Raw genomic sequence first — 27,849 nt, forward strand, 5'->3', positions numbered from 1 at the left:
TTTAAAATCTCAGACTTAAAATTCAAATCTAGACATGACAATTGTAAGCACACCACTCAGTCATTTAAAACTATGCAGTGAGTGCTACTCCTGATTAAATATTTTTTTCTTGTTATTTTTTTCTCCCAAGATTTAGAATGTCACATCTCATGTTCTTACTAGTAATCACACACAGGATTAAAAGCCCAACCAAACAAGAAAGTATTCTTTTTATAATGTGTTCTTAAAAGAAGAAAGAAAAATTAAATGTGAACATTTTGTACAACAGTTGCTGAAGAACAGCAACACCAATTCTGAAATATCATGTGGACTATACAAAAAGGCACGGCTCATGGAACCAAGTATGTAATGCTACAGCATTTGAACATCAGTCTCCAAAAGTTGGTGATATTACATCCTGTACACAGCTCTGTGTCTCTCTACCCGGCTAGCGCATGCCCAGGATCTGTCTGCTTTTTAGTTGATAATTTTTCTCAAAATCTGACAGGGCTTGAGCCCGCAGCTGGGCAGCATGAAGCATGAAGCAAGGACCTTCAGGTCCTTGCACTTGGACTTAGATGTGAGCTGACTCTCAGAATTCTCACTCCTCATGACATTCTCTTTACTTTCCCCACTGAAATGAACTTTCTTCTTAATTACTGAGGATGGAAGATTAAGAAGTTCTGGACTACTTGCCAGAGACAGGAACTTCTGTTCCTTTAGCAAGCTGTAATTCTTCAACAGATTTTCTGGTATAGCCAGTCTGTCCTCTGCTAGTCTCTCACAAACACAAAGCTCCTGTTCTTTCTGCTCCAACCTTTCTTCTCCTGCTTTGAGAGCTCGCTCTTGCTCCTCTAACTGAATTTCCTTTAGTTTCAGCTCACTCAATACAAGGCTGGAATCCGGCAATTTTTCTGGCTCTCCTAATTGTCGCCCTCTTCTCTCAAGATTTCTTCTTTGCTCTTCTGCAACCAAATCTGCTATTAAAGGGTTCTCGAGAATTTCTTCAACAGAAGGTCGATGGTAATCCTTTAACATCCTCATAATAATTTCATTCAATTCATCAGAGTAATGGTATAGAATTCGCCTGAATTTGCCTTCTCTGATTTTCCCAGCGAGTTCTTTCTGGCTAAAAGCTGTAAATGGAGGCATTAATGCACGCGACTCATACGGCAAGCAGCCCAATGACCAGATATCTGGTTTCTCATTGTAGGACATGTGATTCGTTTGTTCAGGAGACATGTAATAAGGTATGCCAACAAATGTTTTTGCAAAACTCGTGTCGTGGTTTAATATTCTGGCTAGCCCCAAATCTCCAAGCTTGACGTTTTGCTTGCCATCCAGGAAAACACTGGCTGGTTTCAGACCCCGACGCACTACAGTATGATCACCACCACTTCGTCTGTGGCATTACTTCAGGGCCAGAGTCAACTGAGTCGTCACTCGAAGAACAAACTCTTCATCTAAGTATTGCCTTTCCTTGGTTCCCTTTGTAATTACACTAGCCAGGTCTCCTTCTTCACAATATTCCATTACAATGTACAGTGTTGTGTTGGTCCGGTCAATAATACGATCATAGTAATGAACGATGTTTGGATTTTTCAGTTTACAAAGCAAATTCACTTCAGAAATAAGCATCTGTTTCTCAGCTTCTGTCATGAAGCCATAATCAAGTTCTTTCCAAGCTAGTATCTTGCCGTCACTCTTCCTCTGGATCTTCTGGCAGCGGCCAGAGGAGCCTGTGCCAATGGTGTCCAACACTTCATAGTTCTCAGCCCGGGACGGCATGGCCAGCCAGTCGCCAGAGTCACGCTGCCTCACGCAAGTTGTGCCCCCAAGTGCAGAGCTCCAGGGACCGGGAGCTCCAGGGACCTGGATGGAGAAGCCCCCGAGCAGCACTGACCTGCCACCCCTGCCTTCGGCCCCATTTCTCTCTCGATTCTTAAACAACTTATATTTCCAAGTCCAGTTCAAAAGTTGTATTCTTGGAAGCCTCCGCATCCCACCTGTCCATCCAGGCAGAACTAATCCATCTACACTCTAGTATTATGCTCTCATAACTCTTGGCTCTTCACCAATTCATTCAAGGGTATAATGAGCATTTAAAATATGTCAGGCATCAGGCTATGCACTGGAGAAAAAAATCCTAAATGTGTAAAACTTCCAAAGTTTTCTCACATACATTATCTCATTTCATACTTTAAAAAAATATCCCATAGGATGATAATTTTTTGTTAACAATTTCTCCTACCAGAATGAATTCCCAGGGGGTAGAAACTAAGTGTGATTCGTCCTTGACTCCCTAGAGTCTAGTGCAGTGCCTAGCACACCGAAGACACTCATTAAATGCTTGATAAAGGAGTAACAGACACTTGTTTAATTACTAAAATATCAATCAGGGTTAACACTGAAATAATCTTTCCACAAAGTTTCCACAGGGGAAAGGGGAAAATACATTATATGAACACATCTGTGGAGCGAAAATTCCTCCCTACGACAGAGCATCTCCAACTCAAGTTTAACTGTTTAACAAAGCCATGTAGCAACTGAAGATGGATTTGATTTCACTATTAAGAGTAATAAGCTCTAACTGAAGAACAGTGAGTTCTGCATAAAAGCTCCTGTGCAGATCATTCTGCTTGGTAAAACTGGACGTTATTGCACAAACATTAAAATAAACATTTAAACTTGGCCGGGCGTGGGTGGCTCACGCCTATAATCACAGCATTTTGGGAAGCTGAGGCGGGTGGATCACGAGGTCAGGAGATCAAGACCATCCTGGCTAACACGGTGAAACCCTGTCTCTACTAAAAATACAAAGAATTAGCTGGAAGTGGTGGCACGTGCCTGTAGTCCCAGCTACTCGGGAGGCTGAGGCAGGAGAATCACTTGAACCCGGGAGGCAGAGGTTGCAGTGAGCCGAGATCGTGCCACTGCACTCCAGCCTGGTGACAGAACGAGACTCTGTCTCAAAAAAAAAAAAAAAAGATTAAAAAAAGTTAAATTGACAGACTATATAAATGGGTTTATCATCCTTTTCTCCTTTAGTATTTACTTTTCTTAATCTCACATCATGTTCTGCTTTACATAAAAAAGCCTCACAGTTTACAAAGCCCTTTCCCTTATATGGTCTTAGCAATCCTGTAGATACCATCAAAAGCATCTTGGAGAGGTAGTGCAGTACTGGAGAAGCAACACAATGAGAAGACCTGGGCTTGAATCTTAGCTTTTACTAGCTGTATGACCTTAGGGATATGTAGCTAAAACTGCAGAAGAAATAAAAATGAATATGTGTCTAAAATTATAGAAGAAATAAAAAATGAAAACATTTTTAATGTTTTTAAAAAGCCTACAACTTTGGATCACACAAATGACCAAGCTGATGAACCTTAAAAATTCAAAATATCGGCTGGGTGTGGTGGCTCTTGCCTGTAATCCCAGGACTTTGGGATTCACCTGGCTAACGTGGTGAAACCCCATTTCTACTAAAAATACAAAAAATTAGCCAGGCGTGGTGGCACATGCCTGTAATCTCACTTACTTGGGAGGCTGAGGCAGGAGAATCTATTGAACCTGGCAGGTGGAGGTTGCAGTGACCCGAGATTGCGCCACTGCACTCTAGCTTGGGCAACAACATTTTTTCTGGCAGCCGTAATCCCATGCCTCAGCTTCTTGAGTGGCTGAGATTATAGACGTGCGCCCCCACGCCCTACTATTTTTTATTTTTAGTAGAGATGGGGTTTTGCCATGTTCCAGGCTGGTCTCGAACTCCTGACCTCAAGTGATCCACCCGCTTTGGCCTCCCAAAGTGCTGGGAGCCACCATGCCTGGCTAATCCCACTTTCTGACTTTGGCCACTGCACTGAGGGGGATATTCTGGCAGTGTCGTTATCACTGGGGAAACGAAGGCCAGGGAGCATTGCCTTATGGGCTGTGACTGTTTCTTCAGCTGCTTTTACATAAGCTTTGACAGCCTGCCCCCTCAGCAGGAAGGACAGGGATGGCTGTCACCGGCAGGCCCAGGCCCAGCCCCTCAGCCAGGTAGGATGCCCGGAGGATGCCAGGCAGCACTGGCTCCCCAGCCTGGGGCTCACCGCTCTCATCCAGGTCCTCCAGGCGCACTGTCTGGTGGGGCACGGGGCCATCCACAACTCGCTCCAGGATGCCTTGGACCAGGGCTGGCTGGTTGCCTGGGCAAACCCTGAGGTGCTCCCCACCGCAGGTAGTTCAGGCCTTGGCTGTCCTCACAGGAGAGTTCCACCAGGATGGTGATGTGGCTTGGGAAGGAAAAAGAAGCCTCAGGTGGGCTGGGCCCTGTGGCTCACGCCTATAATCCAAGCACTTTGGGAGGCTGAGGTGAGCGGATCACCTGAGGTCAGGAGTTCAAGACCAGTCTAAGCAACATGGTGAAAACCTGTCTCTGCTAAAAATTACAAAAAATTAGCTGGGTGTGGTGGTGGCTGTAATCCCAGCTACTCGGCAGGCTGAGGCACATACTGGACATAGGGACACCAGAAATCAACTGGCTGGCCAGCACCTAACATTAAAGGTCCTGCCAAGCAGAGATATTTTTTAGCTGAATCATATTTTCTTTCTGGAATTTTAGACATGCAAGTACTGAGATAATGAAGGGACTACTATCTGGGGCAAAAGCTGAAAGGATACAGAAAGATGAAAATCATGAGGAGGAGCTGAACACAAAACCAAGAGACAGTCAAAGAGTGTAGCCAGTTCCAGAACCCACAGCCATCTAGTTCTCTCTATATCTGGGTAGGCTCTGCTCTAATTCATGCTTTTCCTAAGATCCTTAAGAAAATACAAATGACTGCTTTGCAATAAAAGCCTAACTGGAACAACTTAAATTGATCGCCCAGGCTCTCACAGGTAAACTCAAGATTTGGTGACTAACAATGAGGAAGATAAAAGAAATAAGAGGAGGGGGGAAGGGGGAGGGATAGCATTAGGAGATATACCTAATGCTAAATGACGAGTTAATGGGTGCAGCACACCAACATGGCACACGTATACATATGTAACAAATCTGCACGTTGTGCACATGTACCCTAAAACTTAAAGTATAATAATAATAATTAAAAAAGAGACTCCCACACCACTTGTGCATCCCAATCAGAAGCCTGATACCCATCCCCACATGGACAGCTGCACAGGCCCTTGGGCTCCACGTGCTTGTGAACACACATGTACTCTCAAGTAAGGACACGGGTTCTTGTGCATCAAGTGGTATGTGGACAGGCCCCTTTGCCCATCACTGGGTATTTCTGGCAGTTTCCTGTTGTTATTCTCTTTGATCTTGTAATGGGTTTTGGGACCCCCACTTCTCCAGTCCCAGGGCTCAGAAGCCCACCAGGCTTTCCGATGCTCTCACTAAGTGTTGGCTTCTTGAGCAAGAAGGGCTAGGTCAGGGGGTGGGGTCTGGTTTTACTCATCTCTGAGTCTAGCCTCTAACCCACTGCTTAACGCAGAAAAGGTACCTGGTGAAAATCTATTAAAATCAATGACTGATTTCGCCCAATTTGGAGTGAGACATTCCTGCACAGTCTCAATGTCTGGAGAGCTTTACAAACCCCAGGGGACACCAGGAAAAAAAAAAAGAAATAAGAGGAAAGAATTTAAAATGATTAGGGTTTCTAGATGGGGAACTAGAAGAGATGATGATGCTACTGAGAAAGAGAAATATGGTGTGAAGAGGAGGTTGATTGGAAGAGATACTGAATTAAGTTTTGGACATTTCAAGTCTGAAACGTCTGCGGACTATCTATGAGGAGATTGGAAAATCCGCAATTCAAAAAGCATCACTTAATACATGGTAGTCTAAGCCGCAGAAACAGAGGAGTATCAAAAGACAAGTCAAACCCAAGTGCTCTTTGACAAAGCTGATGGCATATAGACAGACAAGACCTTCATAATGGAGTAAATGGATGCTCTGCCCTGATGTACTGTGTACTCATCTGTCCTGGAGCTAGGCTTCCCACCAGGCGAAAATGAAGGCCAGGAGGAGCTCCAGTAGGTCTAAGTAAGAAGCTAAAAGGACTGAAAATCTGAAACTGACAGTGCCATATCCCCCAGAAAGAGAAAGAAAGAAAAAAAGAAAATCTCAAATTTACTCCTTACACAACTTTATAGGTCACAAAACACTTTATAGGAGAGGTGGACAGTTTTCATAAGCACACACCCCAGCTTTAACATATGAAGCAACAGATTTGGAAAAATAAACTTATCTAAGATTATGCAGCTAAAGCCAGGTGTGGTGGCTCACACCTGTAATCCCAGCACTTTGAGAAGCTGAGGCAGGCAGATCACCTGAGGTCAGGAGTTCGAGACCAGCCTGGCCAACGTGGTGAAACCCCGTCTCTACTAATAATGTAAAATTAGCTGGATGTGGTGGTGCATGCCTGTAATCCCAGCTACTCAGGAGGCTGAGGCAGGAGAATCACTTGAACCCAGGAGGTGGAGGTTGCAGTGAGCCAAGATCGTGCCACTGCACTCCAGCCTGGGCAACAAGAGTGAAACTCCATCTCAAAAAAAAAAAAAAAAAGAATATGCAGCTAATAAGCAGCAGAGCTGAGAATCCTTAGCACTCTCAAGCCACAAGACTCAACAGGTTTCACGGAAACCGAACTGATTGAATCTCACTGAAGTATCCACAGCAGGTCCAATCTGCTTTCCTTTAGCTTTTTCTAGATCACCACAGAGAAGGAATACAAATATAACAGTTTCTGATCCTGAAAAAAAAACCAACCCAACTTTGTTTTCCAGAAATCTTTGCTATTTGTAAACTAGTCAGATTTTAGACTGGGCATGGTGGCTCATGCCTGTAATCCCAGCACTTTGGGAGGCCGAGGCAGGTGGATCACGAGGTCAGGAGATAGAGACCATCCTGGCAAACACAGTGGAACCCTGTCTCTATTAAAAATACAAAAAGTCAGCCGGGTATGGTGGCATGCGCCTGTAGTCCCAGCTGCTAGGGAGGCTGAGGCAGGAGAATGGCATGAACCCGGGAGGCGGAGCTTGTAGTTAGCCAAGATCGAGCCACTGCACTCCAGCCTGGGTGATAGAGCGAGACTCTGTCGCAAAAAAAAAAAAAAAAAATTAAAGAGGAGGGGACACACATCTTCTACCTTCCTCACCAATGTTTGCTTTCTACTTACACAAAAAAGGGAAAGTAAAAACATCCTGGTTGTATTAAAGGTTGGGGTTAGAATGCAAATATGGTTCATCTCAAGTACAAAAGAAAATTAAAAAATACAAACTACCATCAGAGAATACTATAAACACCTTTATGCAGATAAACTAGAAAATCTAGAAGAAATGGATAAATTCCTCGACACATACACCCTCCCAAGACTAAACCAGGAAGAATTTGAATCTCTGAATAGACAAATAGCAGGCTCTGAAATTGAGGCAATAATCAATAGCTTACCAACCAAAAAAAGCCCAGGACCAGATGGATTCACAGCCGAATTCTACCAGAGGTACAAGGAGGAGCTGGTACCATTCCTTCTGAAACTATTCCAATCAACAGAAAAAGAGGGAATGCTCCCTAACTCATTTTATGAGGCCAGCATCATCCTGATACCAAAGCCTGGCAGAGACACAACAAAAAAAGAGAATTTTAGACCAATATCCCTGATGAACATTGATGCAAAAATCCTCAATAAAATACTGGCAAACCGAATCCAGCAGCACATCAAAAAGCTTATCCACCATGATCAAGTGGGCTTCATCCCTGGGATGCAAGGCTGGTTCAACATATGCAAATCAATAAACGTAATCCAGCTTATAAACAGAACCAAAGACAAAAACCACATGATTATCTCAATAGATGCAGAAAAGGCCTTTGACAAAATTCAACAACCCTTCATGCTAAAAACTCTCAATAAATTAGGTATTGATGGGACGTATCTCAAAATAATAAGAGCTATCTATGACAAACCCACAGCCGATATCATACTGAATGGGCAAAAACTGGAAGCATTTCCTTTGAAAAGTGGCACAAGACAGGGATGTCCTCTCTCACCACTCCTATTCAACATAGTGTTGGAAGTTCTGGCCAGGGCAATCAGGCAGGAGAAGGAAATAAAGGGTATTCAATTAGGAAAAGAGGAAGTCAAATTGTCCCTGTTTACAGATGACATGATTGTATATCTAGAAAACCCCATCGTCTCAGCCCAAAATCTCCTTAGGCTGATAGGCAACTTCAGCAAAGTCTCAGGATATAAAATCAATGTGCAAAAATCACAAGCATTTTTATACACCAATAACAGACAGAGAGCCAAATCATGAGTGAACTCCCATTCACAGCTGCTTCAAAGAGAATAAAATACCTAGGAATCCAACTTAGAAGGGACGTGAAGGACCTTTTCAAGGAGAACTACAAACCACTGCTCAATGAAATAAAAGAGGATACATACAAATGGAAGAACATTCCATGCTCATGGGTAGGAAGAATCAATATCGTGAAAATGGCCATACTGCCCACGGTAATTTATAGATTCAGTGCCATCCTCATCAAGCTACCAATGACTTTCTTCACAGAATTGGAAAAAACTACTTTAAAGTTCACATGGAACCAAAAAAGAGCCCGCATTGCGAAGTCAATCCTGAGCCAAAAGAACAAAGCTGGAGGCATCACATTACCTGACTTCAAACTATACTACAAGGCAACAGTAACCAAAACAGCATGGTACTGGTACCAAAACAGAAATATAGACCAATGGAACAGAACAGAGCCCTCAGAAATAATGCCACATATCTACAACTATCTGATCTATGACAAACCTGACAAAATAAAGCAATGGGGAAAGGATTCCCTATTTAATAAATGGTGCTGGGAAAACTGGCTAGCCATATGTAGAAAGCCGAAACTGGATCCCTTCCTTACACCTAATACAAAAATTAATTCAAGATGGATTAAAGACTTAAATGTTAGACTTATAACTGTAAAAACCCTAGAAGAAAACCTAGGCAATACCATTCAGGACATAGGCATGGGCAAGGACTTCAGGTCTAAAACACCAAAAGCAATGGCAACAAAAGCCAAAATTGACAAATGGGATCTAATTAAACTAAAGAGCTTCTGCACAGCAAAAGAAACTACCATCAGAGTGAATAGGCAACCTACAGAATGGGAGAAATTTTTGCAATCTACTCATTTGACAAAGGGCTAATATCCAGAATCTACAATGAACTCAAACAAATTTAAAAGAAAAAAACCAAACAACCCCATTGACAAGTGGGCGAAGGATATGAACAGACACTTCTCAAAAGAAGACATTTATGCAGCCAGAAGACACATGAAAAAATGCTCATCATCACTGGCCATCAGAGAAATGCAAATCACAACCACAATGAGGTAGCATCTCACACCAGTTAGAATGGCAAGCATTAAAAAGTCATGAAAGAACAGGTGCTGGAGAGGATGTGGAGAAATAGGAACACTTTTACACTGTTAGTGGGACTGTAAACTAGTTCAACCATTGTGGAAGTCAGTGTGGCGATTCCTCAGGGATCTAGAACTAGAAATACCATTTGACCCAGCCATCCCATTACTGGGTATATACCCAAAGGATTATAAAACATGTTGCTATAAAGACACATGCACACGTATATTTATTGTGGCACTATTCACAATAGCAAAGACTTGGAACCAACCCAAATGTCCAACAATGATAGACTGGATTAAGAAAATGTGGCACATATACACCATGGAATACTATGCAGCCATAAAAAATGATGAGTTCATGTCCTTTGTAAGGACATGGATGAATCTGGAAACCATCATTCTCAGCAAACTATCACAAGGACAAAATAACCAAACACTGCATGTTCTCACTCATAGGTGGGAATTGAACAATGAGAACACATGGACACAGGAAGGGGAACATCACACACCGGGGCCTGTTGTGGGGTGGAGGCAGCGGGGAGGGATAGCATTAGGAGATGCACCTAATGCTAAATGACGAGTTAATGGATGCAGCACACCAACATGGCACATGTATACATATGTAACAAACCTGCACATTGTGCACATGTACCCTAAAACTTAAAGTATAATAATAAAAAAAAATTAGAATGCTAAAATCCAAAAAAAAAAAAGAAAATTAAAATTATCTTAGGCAATTTAGAAATAGCAACTGAGATAAGAGCTGGAGAGAGGCCTTTCATGGGAAGGTGAGAAGGGGTTACTTAGAATTGTTAAAGGGCGGGGCGGGGAGGTTCGACACAATTTTCTTACTTTCTTGATTCCCTAATGCTCCAGTCCTTTGGACTTCTTGGTCTTAAGGCTATATGAATGACCTAATTAGACAAGTTTCCCATCTTCCACTGATTCTTCACCGCCTCTCCACTATTTCTCAACCTCAATTTGTTTCCTACACACTGCCACCTGTGGCCAGCAAATTGACTAACAATGTACGTCTACTAACTTAACGGTCATGGATGTTAAACACTGTTAAATCCAGGAAACTGGTAAAGATTAAGTCTATAGCTAATGATTGGCAGAACTAAGTCTAAACATGATCCTTGAGATTCCAAAATCAGTGGTCTCTATACGTATCATGTTGTCTCTAAGGCTCAATTACCATGAATGTATGTTATGGTAAATGGGACCAAATAATGTCACAGAAGAGTTTTCAAAAGGAAGGTAAAATGAGGCAAGAAAAAAAGACAATGATAGGGAAGGCAATGCAAGCATCATATCTATTATTAAGGAAGAGCTCACAACATTTCCAGAAAGGCTTTCTAGGAACCAGCCTCGACTGAGGGCAGCACGAACAAGCACCATTTTCCAGGCCACCCCTTGCACCATCTTCATGATTTCCCACCACCCCTTTGAATTATTTGCTAAATCACCCTGATGCTGTCTTACACAGCATATTTTTAAAAGTTCTCAGAAACAGGCTCTTACAGTTTTATTTCTTCTTTTAAAAAAAGTTCCCGCTTATCATGTTGTACTATTTAATCAGAATATACTTGAAAACAAAAGATGCTTTGTGGTTTTTTAACTCTTGGTAATTAATCCATTGTAGGCAGTATTTTAAAAAATGATGTAGGACAGGGAAACCAATATGAAATGGGTAGTCTGAAAAGCAGTTACTAGATACTGACCACCATTTTAGGAAAGGCAGGCTATTTAACCCACTGTATGCTCCCAGGTAAACTTGTCTTCAATTCTTGTTAAGTCAAATATGAAAAACCAAACTTGCCATCTCTATAATTGCTATCGTTTAAAAAATTCTGTTGAGAGGAGACACCAAACATAGTATTTCTTACCCCGTGCAGCATAATAAAAAATAGGATTCCCAGCTTTGGAAGCCCCAGCTTGGTAGAAAATACTTAACGTTTTCAAAGCCTTGATCTCTTCTTTTTCAGGTACCTGATGCCTAAAAGAAAAAGAACAGAGTACCTCTGAGGCTTTATGTTGTCTACTGAGTATGTAAAATAGTCTATAATTGGATAAACAATAAAATACTAAAATAAAAAATATTTTAAAAGCAACAGGCATTCTAAAGGGTAATCTGACAACATGCACCAAAAATTTCAAGGTATTGCTCTTTGAGCCACAAAAGCACTTTTAGGACTATTCTAAGAGAACTATTGGACGAGGATATTAACCATAGGATTGTTTTTACTCATGACATTTTTGTCCCAGACAGAAGTTTATGATTTTTGAATGAATTCATTTTATCAATCTTTTCCTTTCTAGCTTATGGATTTTGAATGGATGAAAAAGGCCTTGCTTTGCCATGCTGTTTTGATTTATGGGAGTTTATCCTCATAAATGGTATGAAGATATTTTTCCAGATCATTACTCAGTTTTATCAACACCATTTATTGAAAGTCCAACCTAATCTCCTGGATTTCAAATACTCAACATGTACAGATTTTTCTTTGTTTTTATTCCTTAAACAATATGGTATAACAACTATTTATATAACATTTATATTGTATTAGATATTATAAGTAATCTAAAAATATTTAAAATATATGGGAGGATGTGCATAGTTTATATGCAAATACTATGACATTTTGTATCAGGGACTTGAGTCTGTGGATTTTAGTGTTCATGGGAGTGAGATGTGGGCAGGAGTTTGGGGGGTGGTTCCTGGAACCAATCCCTGACAGATACTGAGAGACGACCGTATTATAAAGCTAGGCTTTGTCAAAGAAACATATGTAAATGCTTATTATACAGTCCATAGTGTTTAATCACTTTCTGATATGTGTCAATAAGTATTTATCATTAAAGTAGACTTAATTACTTCCTTTTTTGGTCTATCTCTGGTGTTTGAATCAGGAAATCAATTGTTTCTTAGACTCAACACAATGAGTTTCTCAAATAATACCTTTATCTATCTCATCATAACATAAATGCAATCTGAGGCTTTATGTATCTTATTTCCCAATAACTGTAGACTATTCTTCATAAACTGACAACAATAACTTCCCAAACATACCGCTCTCGCACATTTATTTTTCCTGAAAGTCTATCGGTCAAGAAAAAGTAGTAATAAAGATTAGTGTCTTTACATATTTTGAACACAAAAGTTTTACATCTAAAAAGTTTAAATACACATAAAATACAAGTATAAAGCTGTAATGAAGTAGTTATAATTCTCACAGTAAAACCCACTAATATTTGAAAGTCATTTTTTTTACCTTGTAAGACATTTTACATCATCATCTGCTGCTTGGTTTGATGTTCCCATAACCCAGTCTGTCAGGTATTCTACCATCTTATTCCTATAGAATGGTGGAGAAAAGAGAAACAGCACACAATTTTTCTGAAGTCATACCCCCCCACACACACACCTTCAGTGATGTAAGATTACTTATGGTGCAAATAATTTGGCAGATAACCCAGGTGACATGACGACTTTATAAAAGAGATACTGCTATCATAGATGTAAAAGCCAGAAGGAACAAGCAACGTGGATACTGATCCTCCATCATGGCCTTTAGTTATGCTATCAGATTGGAAACAGAATCAAATTCTTAGCTCAAGTACAGCAGAGTTTTAGAAAAAGGGAGGCTTGCCACAGGCACAAAGCTTAGGGAAATTTGAGGAGAGACACAGAGAAAAACAAACATGTAAACTGCTCTCTTTTTATGTCTTTCTTCCTACCAATAACCAGATATCTACTCTATTTCTGTACTTCATTCAACAAATTAAGATTTACAAGACCCTACATTGCTCTTTTGAGAACTCACCTAAATTTCATCTCTCGGCAAAATGAGAGGTCATCTCTCCTTGCCATCGTTACTTCAACCAACTGACACAGTTTCGTTTTTATTTGAATTGCATGGACCATATTCCCAAGCACACAAACGTACCTATACAGACATAGAGACAATAAAAAAGTTATCAGATACAGACACAAGATAAGGCATTCAAAATACTTTAACCATCAAATAAAATGAACTAAACGTAAGTTTGAAAACAGTAAGACATTTATTTATAGGAGAGCATACACAATTTCTGGTTACCTTGTTGTCACAGCCTAGTTTGTGTGCAGTAAAGAATGGCAAATTATTTTATCAATTACTATCAATATCAATGTGTGACAGGTTTTTCTTGTCTCTTAAATCTTAAAGTATGTTTCTGCTACATTTCAGTAGAAGGCTTACCTGACCAGATTTAACATCATTGTTTCAATGCTAGCTTGCTCTAGATGTTCAGAGCTGCCTTCAGTATGATTATCTAGCAAGTTCTTCAATATAGCTAGGGTTTCCTCTACAAATTGAGTATTGGTATCAGTCAATAAAACCTATAGAGAGAACAAATATATTAATGATTTGCCATCAATGCCCAGAAGACAGATCCCTAGAGAGATGAAACTGACTGATCTAAACACACAAATAGAGACATGCACCCACAGGCACGCAGCCAAACAGGCACACAGATATACACAGACACTCATACCCATATACAAGGCACGTATACCCTCAGGCACACATACACATCAGAGTTCCTAGAAGCAAGCTGACCATTCATTGAGATGATTCTTCTTTCTACAATTTTTTGACAATTTTTAAAAACTGTGAGTACCTAATTTAAATAATCTGAAAGAAAAAGGCTTCATTATTTCAAACAAGTCACTCTATTCATAGGGAAAGGTGAAAAATAAAAAAGAGCACACTTTACCTGTCCTTAGGAGTCAAAAAACTTGCTGATGCGTCTCTTCAATTTGTTAAATAGCATCAGATAAAGAGCAGGACTCAATTCTAGACCCACCAGGTCCTTACCATTGGTCCGTATTTGAAGTCCCACTTTCTCAAGCTTACACACCATTAACGACAACAGCTGATCCATATATTTGCTGACAGGTGTATCTGCGTTTCCCTCTGAGGACATCACTGAAATCATGGAACCCTTATGTTCACTGACCGGACCCATGGGTGGGCTATAGGTTGCCAGGCCAGAATTCCTTCTCTGCTGGAGGCACACTCCCCCAAGGGCACAAAGGAAGCTAGTCATGTTGATCCATGCCTGTAGGGAGTCTGTGTCAGACAAATCTATGGGTCCTCCTCCACTCACATGGGACATTCGCCTCTTAACAATGGTCTTGTGAAGCTTTCAACAGCCTAAACACAAAATTTTTGTGCAAAGCATGAATTAAACCTAAATTAGTTGAGACTTGACAAATTACTCTTTATCCAACATTTCTTCCGTGACAAACGTACAAAAAAATGTAAAAAAATACATTAAAATCAACCCCCTAAATTACCATATACATTTTTAAAGAGCCACTGATTTATTTTTGTCATACACTAATATAATTGCCAAAGTATCAAATTTCTTTTAAAAAGCTTTGATTTCACACGGATGAACCTTGGGAACATTATGCTAAGTGAAAGAAGCTAATCGTAAAAGGCCACATATTCTAAAACTCCATTTACAGAAAATATCCAGAATAGGCAAATCTACAGAGACAAAGTAGATTCGTGGTTGCCTAGGGTTGGAGAAGCGGGGGGAAGAGAGACAAGAAAGGTGGGGGGTTGTTAGAGGCAGAGATAGCTAAAGGATACCGGCTTTTTTTCTCAATTGATGAAATTGTTCTGAAACTGATGGTGGTGATGGTTGCACAACTCTGTGAATATGCTAACAACAGTCACTGAATTGGACACTTTGAATGCGTGAATTGTATGGTATGTAATTATATATTATAGTAACAGTTATCCCCCAAAAGCTTTCATTCTAAAGCTACATGTCCCCTCCAAATAAAGGTATGAGGTACACAATTTTGCTTCACGAAAATATAACTTTTTTCTTATTATAATTAAGCATGACAGAAAAATAACATGGGGGAAGAGCCAGTTTTTATAAACCACCTAATAATGAGAGCAATATGAGCATTATAAATCATATACACACAAACACCAACTCATCAATTTCCAAAGTAATGGATAATATAGTCAATAGTAATAGTTGAAGGAACTGTCCATATTTTAAAATTTTATTTTATCTATGGGTTCCATCTTCTGCCCAAGACATTCTTTAATTAGAATACCTAACAAAATAGCAAAATGAATGGTTTCCATGTTAATTTTTCTCTACCTCTGTTGCTCCTTTTCTGAAAATTCTGTGAAACACCCTGATGAAGGGAGAAAGAGCAAGAAAAGATAAAGAAATGGTCTTTGCAACAAACAGTCTCTAGCAGTGCTGCCCAGTATTTCTGTGATGATGGAAACATTTTCTCTCTGCTGTCCAACAGAGTAAGTACCTGTCATATGTGGCTACTGGGTACCTGCAATGTGGCTACTATATGATTGAGGAACTAAACTGTATTTAATTTTAATTATGTTAAAATTTAAGTTAAAGAGTCACACGTAGCTAGTGGCTATCATATTACAAAGTACAGGTCTAGATAAACCACAACTAAATATCAGTTTTCAGACAACTATATGCTTACTTTACTGAGTGACTCGTGAAAGATTACCAAAGAGAAGGACATATATTTAGCAGATCAGTTAATAGACAAAAGTCAACTTTACAGACTTACCTGGCCATCTTCCATTTGGGCTTTTGGATAGCTAAGGATTAGTTTTGTTGCTTGTTCCCATTTTGCATGTGTATCTTCCCAAGTCTAAAATGAAGACAGTTATCACTTGAAAGCAACTTTAAGTCTAGAGCTAAACATCAATCAGCAACAGCCAAGCTTCAAACTTGATATATATTAAGTACTCAGATATTATACTTGTAATATGCACGTATCTTGGATTTACTTCAAAGCTATTCCTGATCACACATATGTAACAAGAGGCTTCCAAAATCGAGCGTGGGTGCCTGGGAGAGGTGTTTTTGTTGCTTAGAGCACACCTCAGTGTTTCCTGCAGTGGGATGCTCAGTGCGCCTCAGCAGTGCCATCACTCTTTCGGAAGTGCTGCTGTGCCTAAGCAACTACAACAGCAAATCAAGTTACTGCACTTAGAGCCCTGCCTGCCAATGGACAACCTGATAAGCCCACCCAAAAGGCAGAGTAGGAGGAGCAGAGCAAATGCCTCAAATGATAAAGCCAAAAACTTCCGTTCACTAACCTCACAGGAAAGGTACTTATCTTAGACTCTACAATGTCCACAGCATAAAATAGCTATTCCCACCTATAATTTACTCAAAACAAATGCCAATGTGTGTAAACTTCACTATCCATAACATACGGAGTTATGGATAACATAAATTACATAGTCATATGTAATTTGACTATGTATATGGATAACATAAATTACATAGTCATACAAACGTAAATTACATAGTCATAACTGATAGTAACACGTACTGCCAGTTAATTTTAAAATCTATAGCACATTAAAAACTCAGTGGGAGACTAACAATTTATTTCAAACGCTTTTTATTTTCATCTTACTTTGTTCAGAAAAGGATTTCAAGTAAGCTACTTGAATTTCTCCTGTAAACTTACAGAAGTGTAATCTTAAATACATTCTCACAATCAGATGCCATGTGCTTTAGGGAGGTTGAGTAAAAAAACCACTATTCATATTTACCTGTTGACATCACATTGCTGACAGGCAAACTCCATGAATGTGTTAAGAGTTGGGCAAGAGGTTACGCACCGACACTTCGTCCACCCCACACCGGGTATCTGCTTCCTCACAGAGGTGGCGGAAACAGGACATGGCAACCAGAACAGCTTCAGTGTCAGGGTTCCGCAGAAACATGTACAGGGCCACTTCTAGACTGGTCTGCGCTTGTCAGCAAGTCAGGGGGGTTCCGCTGCATCCTGCTGCACTATCCTGAGAGTCAAGGGTGGTAGACATATATTTGCAACTTGGGTAATTTTATGTATAAAACCCAACAATGCAATAAACTGCGTGTGTGTGTGTGTGTGTCCACATATATCTCAGCATACAATAACTCATAAGAGCTTTCTCCTTTAATCATTATATGAATTTTTCAAACCCCAAAATATCTTGTCCAAATGAGAAATGAGATTATCTGGACCAACATAAAGCTACTATCTGTCCAATTTCAAATAAAATAGGTATTATCCTATTCCAGATTCCAGAAATGGAAACCGATTCTAACACGGACAGGTAAAACACCATAACATAAATCTACTGCAGTAACTATATAATGTACTTCCCAGTCAATTACAAATGACAAAAACAGAGGAAGTAACAGGAAATTCTATCTACTTGCTCTAGGGAAGTAATAAAATAAGTACACTGCGACACTCATTGAAACAAGGGCATAAACAAGAACAAAATATTGCTGTAGAAGATAGACTTGATTCTGAATGACCTATTCCCCAAACATGAAATGGAGAAAATAATTGACAAAATACATTCAAATTCTGCAAGTAAAACAGACAATAATAAATAGCATACTGCTTAGATTTTTTTTCTTTAACAAGGCTATATTAAAAATTAGGGATGAAAAAAGTTTTGGTTTGGAAAATAAACTCTTCTGTAATGACCCGATATTTTCACTTGAAATATGATTTATATTTAAAGGAAATTATACACACAAATGCAAATCACAGAAACACTTATCTTTAACATGAAACAAAATATTTTGTTTTTATCCCTGTACATCTGTACCTTTGTTAGCTGGTACAAATTCTATACTTCTATGCTATGAATGGTTTTTCATGAGGTGGAGGTTATCAGATACAGCTTGTATGTGTCAAGTGCTATTTACACATTTTTTTATTTAACCCTCACAACAACTCTGGAGCAGGAATTATTATTGTCCCCATTTTAAAGTTGAGGAATTGAGGAACAAGGATGTTAAGAACTTGCCCAAAATTCCATAAAGAGCAGTGATAGAACTAGAGTCTAAGCAGTTTTTCACTATTACTCTATATTACCTGGATGAAATTTACCAAAGTTCATTCAGAAAACAAATAGAGCACACGAGATGATACAGGAAAATTACAAAAGAAGCAGACCATAGAGGAGTTCCCTTTTCCCTTCTGGAGAGAGGCTCAGGAGTACATAGTGACACTTCATGACCCATGGACATTTGATTGGTATTTCCACTAGAAGGAGTATCACATCCTACTCCATAAAAAAGGAGAAAGTGACATGAACTTCTATCTGCCTGCTAGAAAAAAGAAGGAAAGAAGCTTTACTGACGCACTGACAACCAAGAGGAATAAACACTTATATCGGTTGTCTTCCTGTTTGAGACTCTCCTAGAAAACCTCTCCTCTCAATCTCTATGCCCCACCTTGAAGGAAATTCACTAGAAACCCATTAGAACAAATAATGTTCACTTAATGTCTTTAAAATTTCTTTCAGTTTCCCATTCTCTAAATAATCAGAAACAGTAGATTCTACAAATATAAAGTAAGTCTAACATAAACATAAGTAAAACATCAACAATGTAAATCCACTGTATGAAAACTATAATTTGGTCTCAATGACAAAGATTTTTTTTCTGCAAGATTTTATCCGTGCCATGTTGGGATAACTAGAAATTGACTCTTGAGATTAAGTTCTTCTGGACCAGTAATTAACCCTGGTATATACACCAACTATATCACAAGAGTGACTGTGCTGACCAGGGCACTACGAATTCATTACTGGATTCCTCATACTCATATTCTGGAGATTATGCCATAGGCAAGGGCACGAAAGTCTGAAGTCTAATCTCTTTCCAATCTTTGGAATAATGCCAAATTCAGCTACATTAACACATCAAATAAGCCAGATGTGAATAAACCCACTTCACCATTAGTCTATTTCTAAACAGAGACAATTTATTAATAACAAGCTGTATAATACTGAAAAGGATATGAGTTTCATACATTTAAGGTTTTTCACAGCTATGCTTCTAGTACCAGATAAAAATTCATTAAATCAAGTACTCCTAAAACTAGGCCATAATAGAATTCCTAAATTGATTAACTATAGAAACTATATGTTAAAAGAAATGTAAGACTCTTCTCTATCTGCCACAACCTCACCATGTTTCAATAGTGCAGAATCAAAAAATTTCACTCCACCCCAAGAAGTGTCGTGAAATTTTCAAGATGTGAAACCCTTATTGGAGGCATAGAAATAAACCTAGATTGAGGACCCTCAACCTTTTCCCTTTTGCTTCTTGATAGATAATTCTCTGGACTAGTCTAGCCACGACATCTAGGCCTTTATGATTTCTCAGAGCTATGATTCTAGAACTGGACAAAAAACTCATTAAATCAAGTACTCCCAAATCTATGCCATAATAGAATTCTTAGATTAATTATAGAAGCTATATGTTAAATTTTACGTATGAATTATGTCTATGTGTGAACTTGAGAGTAAAGATAGAATATGCTCCTCAAGCTACTTTGGTTATAGCAGCCCCCACTTTTCCTAGGCCTGTCCCATAGAGACCTATTTAACTCAAACTAGAACTAGAATTCATCAACAGTGTGGTTTTACGGCCAAAGCTTCAGAATAATTTTTAAAATGCTAATTTGCCAGCCCTTGTCCTCTGCACATATATATCCTTTTGAGAACCTTGGGGGGAAGGAGGAGCTGAAATAGAAACTAATTTGGCTATAAAACACTTTCTTAATCTCTCCCCATCACCATTCCAAATATTCTCCCATTTTTTAAAGATGTCATTTCGTTTATCTTATTTTTAAGAAAAAAATTTATTCCTGCAGATCAAAATTTCCTGCAACCACTTGAGAATTTCTGTGCTACTAAGCATTTAATGACTAGTTAATTTCTTGCAGATGTAAAAATACACTTGTGAGCTGCAGTAACATAAAATTTATTGTCACTAGCATCAACAATAACCTAATGCAGATATAACCAGACATAAGAACGGCATTCTCCCATAATGAATACCAGCTTAGAGAAGCTTAGTTATGTTAAGCATGTCAGTTGAATGATACGGAAATTAAGAAGAAAGAGAAATGTTAAGAAATGGTAAGGGCAATTAAGAATCTGATCTAATTATATCAGTATTCATTATACATTAGGTTTCTTAGAGACGTCTTAGTTTTCAGTTACGATCAGAAAGGATCAGTAAGTGCTCTTGAGCTAAAAATTACCCTCAAGGTCTTGGCGTTTCAGTTAAACCAAATGAACTTAGTGTGGTAATTTTGACGTATTTCATAAAAAAACACTTACACAAAGCAAGAGCTCTGGATCTGCATGAATTAGTTTCACCATGGACAAGAGAAGATACTTACAGCTTCTTGTCTCCAAGCCTGTAGGTTTTTCTTTAAATTTAAGGCTTGTTACTTTTTCTTTAAATATAAGACTCTAAAAACAAAACAAAAACATGGTATCAGACATAAGACTCAGGATAATAGCTATCCAACCTTTTAAAAGAAATTTATTATGAGAAAACTTTGAAAAAAGCTATTTTTATACTACCAAATGTGTGGTATAAGTAGAAACACTCAATAGTAAGCATAAGGTCAGTATTATTAAGCTTACAAAATGGAAATTGTTTTTGCACCATTTATATTATTTTTTAATCAATCTAATGAAACAATGAAAATCTACTACAATACTCAAAGCTTAATATCAGGTTGTAAAAAGCCTCCTATTTAAAAAACTATTTTCCAAAATGTAAAAACATAAGGGAAAAAATATTTGGTCTATAGTTCTCACAAATCTCCACACCGGGTAACTCATTAACAAACACTCCCCACACATATACGCAAGTATTTCACAGACTCTACAGTATTGTCCGTTTTAAGATGCAGCATTATTTGATGTCCCAAAAGGAATGAAAACACACTGTCAATTGTAAGACACCATCTAAAATACGATACACTCCCAATTTCAGAGAAGAGTAAAAATAAGTGCTCCTTAGAATTAATGAAATATGTTATCTAGACAATCTCTGTATTTACTAGTTTAATTGTAAAATCTGCTTTTTCCTTCGATGGCACTCCATCTCTTTTGAGTTACAGAATGCACGCATTTTGCCTGAAGAACATTCATAAAACAGAAAGAATTCAGAGAAAGGTAAAACTTATGGAAAATATGTTTCCATTACAGAGACATAGGATGAATTAAAATAATCATAGATGTTTTTCAACCAAAAATCCAACAATTATATTCTAGATCTAATATCACCTATTATTATAACATATTTCCTTCCTTTTCTTCTTTAAAAGAACACAAAACTATCTGATTTTGACATGAATGCCTTTATGTAAACATATATATAACATAGAAATAGTAGACTGTGTACCAACTGTGGACCCATAATACAAATGTCCAAGTAAACAGGCTGTCTTTCAAAGTTAAAAAGCGGACATGCATATCTACAACACAAATGAACCATCTTCTGTGTTTAAGTGAAATATGCGTTTGTTATTATACCCAAGAACACTGAAGGGCTGTAGTCCTCAGAAGGGAAGAATAGCTATTTAAATGCACACATTTATATTCAAGAATGTCACAACAGAAGAGAAATAGCAAAACTTACAAATAGTTTGCTTTTATATTTATAACTGCCCCTTAACCCCTAGGCAAATGTTTTACTAAATGATTTAACAAATGCTGGTTTTACTGTTTGCTCTCTTTCAACTGTATTTTTTCCTCACTCTAAGTTGAGGTGTTTCACCTTAGATCAAGCTGAAACTTTGATTAAACAAATGTATTTACTTTGACGTAACTAAGTGTAACTATCAAACGACTCTTCTCTAATGCAGCCATTGCACAGGAAGATAAGATCAGAGAACAAGTAGTAGATATCAGAATTTTTCCTTATTTAAGAATAATTTCCAAAAAAAGTAAATAGTCTTCTGCCACATAACAACATTTCAGACAATGATAGACAATATGTAACACAGCTGAAAAATTCCTATCACCTACTGACATAACCATCATGATGTCCAAGCACAATGCATTACTTTTTGTTTGCAGCGATGCTGGTGTAAACAAACTTTCACTTCTATTCATATAAAAAGAGTATAGCACATTCAATTATGTATAGTATACAATACTTGATAATGAGAATAAATAACTGTTACTGGTTTATGTATTTACTATAATATACTTTTTTTTTGAGATGGAGTTTCACTTTGTTGTCCAGGCTGGAGTGCAGTGGCGTGATCTCAGCTCACTGCAACCTCCGCCTCCCGGGTTCAAGCAATTCTCCTGCCTCAGCCTCCAGAGTAGCTGGGACTACAGCTGCAAGCCACCACACCTGACTTATTTTTTTGTATTTTTAGTAGAGAAGGCCTTTTGCCATGTTGGCCAGGCTGGTCTCAACTCCTGACCTCAGGTAATCCATTCGCCTGGGCCTCCCAAAGTGCTGAGACTACAGGCGTGAGCCACCAGGCCCAGCCTACTATGGTATATTTTTTATTGTTATTTTAGAGTATACTCCTACTTAAAGATAAAAAGTTAGCTATGAAACACAGCCTCAGAAGGTCCTTCAGGAGGTACTCCAGAAAAAGGCATTGTTACTACAAGAGATGACAGCTGGATCCACACGTTATTTCCTCTAAAAACCTTCCAATGGGAGCAGATGTGGAGGTGGAAGACAGTAACACTGATGATCTTGACCCAGTGTAGGCCTAGGCTAATGTATATGTTTGTGTCACAGCTTTTAACAGAGTTTTCAAGAAAATTAAAATAGAACGTTTTTCAAATAAAAAAACTTACAGGCTATAAAGAAAAATATTTTTATACAGCTAGCTGTACAATGTATTTTAAGCTGTTATTGCAAGTCAAAAAGTTAAAAAATTTAAAAGTTTATAAATTTTAAAAGCTACAGAAAAGTTAATTATCAAAGAAAAAATATTTTTTAATAAATTTGGTGTAGCTTAAGGGTACAGTGTTATAAAGTCTACAGTATAGATCCTGAGTATGAGAAAAAAAACAAGTATTGAAAGAGGCATCCTGTGCCCTGGACTCAGAGGCTTCCCTAGGGGGTGCCCCACTTGCCCAAAGCAGTGCAGCCTGAACCCAAAACTGTGAGCAGAGAGTCCCATGTGTGTTTGAAGGGTTTCCTATGTCCTCTGTGTTCTCCTATAGAAAGCAGCAGGGGTGTGTCGAGCACACACAAGACGCGCTAACAACAACCTGAGCACAACCTCATGCTGCTGAGATGCACCCGGACCCTGGACAGGCCGTGGTGAGAGCAGCCCGAGGATCGTGGCTGGGGACTGTGTCTGGCTTCATGGAGGAAGTCACATGGAGTGCCTTCTCCAAGAAGACAGCCAACTCCCTGCAGGCAGCACACTCCACTGCGCACCTATCAGTCTGTACAAGTGTGGGATTTCATTTGGCAGATCCCCAAGGCAGGAGAGAAAAGGAGGAAAGCTAACCTAACTCCAGGCTCTCCATGGACGCCAACATCTAGAAGTGTCTGACAGGAGGCATGCATCCTTGGCCCCGATGAGGCTGCGGGCCATCCCTGCAGTCCTGGCTAGGCAGCCGAGAGGCAGGCCTTGTGGATGCTCTGGGCACAGGTGCTGAGCAAGGTGGTAACCTAGTGCTTGTCCGGGAGCTGCAGCTGCCTGGAGGTCACGCGGTGGTGCATCGACCTGAGGAAGGGGTTGGTGCCTGCAACCGAACAGTGGGCATGAGCCTGAGGCAGCTGGCGCTGCACCCACGCCCTGCACACCCGGCAGTGCTCTGGGAAGTGGCAGCCCCAGGACTGGCTGAAGCACCAGGAGGATCCCTGCACGCTGCCTGCCTGGCCATCAGGCTCTCCTCCCGGAGCCTCATCATCAGTGAAGAACTGAATCTGAACGGGATTTGGAGCTCAAGGCTTTGCCTCTGACAACCTTGGGGACCCAGCCCTGGCTCTGCTATGTGCCAGCTCTGGGCTCAGGGAGACTGACTCCTGTCAACATGACTCTCTTTGGAGACACATCACCCAGATGGGGTCTTGTGTGCCCAAGCTACTGGTAGGACCTGTCAGCTCCACTGAGCTCCCTAGTGGCCTCTGGGAAAAGCGGGGTCTGTCCTTGAGGCGTAGGGTTTCTCACCCCTCAGCCACTGAACACAGCCACCCTGGAAAGCTGACCGGACACAAGATGAAGGGGCAAAGGGACACAGAAGAGCAGAGACTCCTATCTCTCAGGTTACCACTGGAACCTGAGAGATTCCACACAGGAGGAGCCAGAAGAGGGGAGGAAGGGGCCTGAGCCGGGGAGGGGCACAGAGGCTGTCCCTGCAGCACTAGAAGCTTGGTTTTCCAGAATGACCCCTGCCTGCCCTGGGCCCCCAGACAGCTCCTCTGGGTCTGCCCACTGTATAGCCACTGCCAGTCCATCCACAGTGGACTCTGGGCAGGGTAGTGGGTGGGCACATGGTGGCACACTTGGGAGGTCCTTGTCGTTTGCAACACACAAGGCTGTACCTGTGACCCGGACGAGCCCTGGCCTGCCCCGCCTCACAGCCCTGCTCCCGAACAGGACTCTTCACACCCCGGGAGGTTCTGGTGAGGCTTGCGGCAAAGCCTGGATGTCTCTCTGACTCTCAGATTTCCAAACCTGAAGCCCAGAGTGCCCTGCGTCAATGGGTGCCCAGAGGTCCTGCCTGTCACCTCCCTAGGGCCCCAGGCAAGCAGAGCCGTATCTGTGTTGGGGAGATGAGGGTGCGTGGGGGCAGAGGCATGGCCAGTCTGTCCTGGGCTCCGTGTATGTGAAGACAAAGCAGACAGCCTGCTGGGGTGTGAACACAGGGTGGGGTCTGGGCACGGTGCCCTCCGGCTCGGATGGCAGAGACCTGGTGCTGTGGACAAGGCTTCCTAACTTGTGCCGGCCTGGCCCTCCTGGACGCTCGCCCAGCTTGCAGACCAGGTGGACGGTGCCATTGTTGCTGCAGCGAGAAGAGTCCAGGTTTATCATGCACTTGGGGTCCAGCCTGGCCACCTCGCCCTGGAGCATGCTGGGGATGCTCTGCCGCTCATCGTCCTCAAGCCTGTGCTTCCGGGTGCACACCACTGTGGACGTGAGGAGGCAGCATGGTGACCACAGTGGGCACACATGGTCCAGGGCTGGCCATCCGCCCTCTGTAAAGCCCAGCCCAGCTGGATGTATGTGATGAGTGGGCCGTGGATGGCAGTCATGGCTGGAGCGAATGTGCGGTACAGGGAATGGCTGAAGAGGGTGAGCAGATATTGGCTAGGACAGCATCCAGGAGCTGCTGGCATAGGTACTGCTGTTTGGTCAGCGGCACCAGGGGCAGCGGGCTGGCGGTAGGATGGGCACGGTCAGAAGCCCGGGACCTGAGGGTTCTCCATTTAGGGGGCCTTCCTACCTCTGGCCAGTCCTCACTCACAGCCAGATTCCCGAGGCCTCTCTCTTAGCCTCCACCCTTGTGCAGACAATGTTGGCCGATCCTGGGTATAATCCCCACCCCCACAGCCTTGTCCTCCCCAGAGTCCCTGCTGTCTCTGGACCGGGTGGCAGAGGCACCCACGGGGGCCACAGACAGAGGGTGACTTCTCCCACGTTCCCGCCCAGCACAGCAAACCTGGCCTGGAAGAGGCCTGGTGGGCAGGGTCTCAGATCAGGCCCAGCCCCCACCCAGCCTGACCATGAAGGCCCCTCCAGTGGTGCCCCCAGGAGCTCTTGAGGGAGCCCCGATCCCCCAGGGGTCCCCAGCATCCCACTCACCACCGCCATGTCATTCTTGAGTTTCTCCAGGGTGATCTCACACTTTGGCAAGGTCTTCAGGGGACCTGCAGAGAGAGGGGACTTGGGCTGAGCTCTGTGCTGGAGGGCTGGGAGACATGGCAGGTCTCAGGCTGGGATCTGGGATCCCAACCACTGCCACTGGGCCTCGGCCCTCAGAAACCTCTGCAGGAGCTCCCTTCAGCTGACCAGCTGTTCCCAGACCCAGAGTCTAGGCAGGTGGCCCTCACCCCTAGGAGCTGCCCATCCCTGTTGGCAGTGAGGCAATGGGTCAAGAGAAGGGACAGTGGCCAGGACCCTGACCAGGCTGGAAAGGCCTCAGTTGCACCTAGGCCAGTCCCTGTCCTGCTCAGTCCTATAACCCTAATGAAGAATCAACTCAAGAAGGCCTGGAGGACCACCCAATAGTGACTGGCATTCTATCCAGACAAGCAAAACAGAGAGACACTTCTAGACGGGGGTGGGGGGACACCCTGAGTTTAGGTGACAGGGAAGTATAGGCCAACGCCCATGCGGTTCTGAGGTGCTGCCCGAGCTCACAGCAGCCCGTGGCCGGTGGCCCTGCCTTCCACCTGCTTCTCACCAGCACCGTCTTGTTTCATTTTCATGACAGCACACATGGGCTGCAAATGGGGTAACTGAGATGCAGTCGCCTGTCCATGGTCACCGGGAAGTCAGGGGCAGAACTCCAGGTCATGCTCAGGCCCATCACGGCCAGCTGATGTTCAGGTCACTGCAAGCTGGGCCCCCAACTACTGGCTGGATGAGACCTGGCTGTGATGGGCCAGCATGAGGGCCACAGCAGTGGTCAGGAGTAGGGCAAAGGCTGGGCACCGGCCAAGATGAAGCCTGGGCTCGAAGCCCCAGCACACACCAGAGTGGAGACTTGGAGGCCTCTGTCCAGGGCCCAAAGAGCTGCCTGGGGCCTTTGCTAACCCCACATCATCACCAAATGCCCATCCATGGCTGGACGACCCACGCCCTTGTGGACCCTACGTTGGCTGTAGGCAAAACTCACTGCTTGGAGAGGTCTGTCACAATGTCCAGAAGGCTCTTCATCTTGCTCAGGTCCTTTTTTCTGTCTGGGACAGCAGAGGGGACCATAAGACACGAGCCTGGTGGCATCCCCAGGGCACTGGCCCCCACCCCGGCCGCAGCCCACCTTCACTCTTGTCGATCTTGTTGACCACGCGGTGCAGGGGCTTGATGTGCTTGGACAGCTGCTTCAGCGTGTCCCAGTACAGCTGCTCCTGGCCCGGCTGGAGCCGGCTGGACTCATGACAGAGCTGGGGTCACTGCAGGACTATGGGCGGGTGAGGCCTCAGCCCTAGACCCTCAGGCTGGGAGCTTGGGCTCTGAGGGCCCCAGAGCACGCATGAATGGTATGACCTGAGGCCTTTTAAAGGTGAGGGGTGACCTAGCACCTCAACCTGCCAGGCCGTGTACAGCTCACATGATGGAGCTGTGGGTCCCAGGCCTGGCTTAGCAGGTGTGTGTAAAGGACTAGGGGAGGGGACACTGGAGTTCTGTGGGGTTTGTGCTGTTTCTGGGTGCTGGGAAGGCTGCAGTGTGGAGCTGGGCAGGAAGCTACGGGGGACAGAGCAGGGCTGGAGCTGCAGCCAAGCGGGAGAAACATGGGAGCTGGGCCCAGGCAAGGCAGCCACCAAACTCACTCTGCAACAAACCACAGTGGTGACCAATCCCCATCCTCCTTCCCATGCCAGCTGGGCGGGACCTCACCCGAAACAAGGGGTGGGAAAACTGGCAAGACCAGCACCCC

The 27,849-nt window shown here is 42.1% G+C and overlaps 4 pseudogenes; all 4 read right to left on the bottom strand.

Moving 5' to 3' along the window:
• Window positions 1-230: 230 nt before the first annotated feature.
• Window positions 231-1,909, bottom strand: NEK2P2 (NEK2 pseudogene 2; annotated as a pseudogene).
• On the bottom strand, window positions 11,273-20,722 carry NF1P6 (neurofibromin 1 pseudogene 6; annotated as a pseudogene).
• The window catches only part of LOC124905152 (mediator complex subunit 15 pseudogene 7), a 42,872-nt pseudogene continuing 35,647 nt past the window's right edge, over window positions 20,625-27,849 (bottom strand).
• Window positions 23,312-23,985, bottom strand: LOC124905152 (mediator complex subunit 15 pseudogene 7; annotated as a pseudogene).

Source organism: Homo sapiens, chromosome 22, assembly GCF_000001405.40.
Source record: "Homo sapiens chromosome 22, GRCh38.p14 Primary Assembly".
NCBI classification, from domain to species: Eukaryota; Metazoa; Chordata; class Mammalia; order Primates; family Hominidae; genus Homo; species Homo sapiens.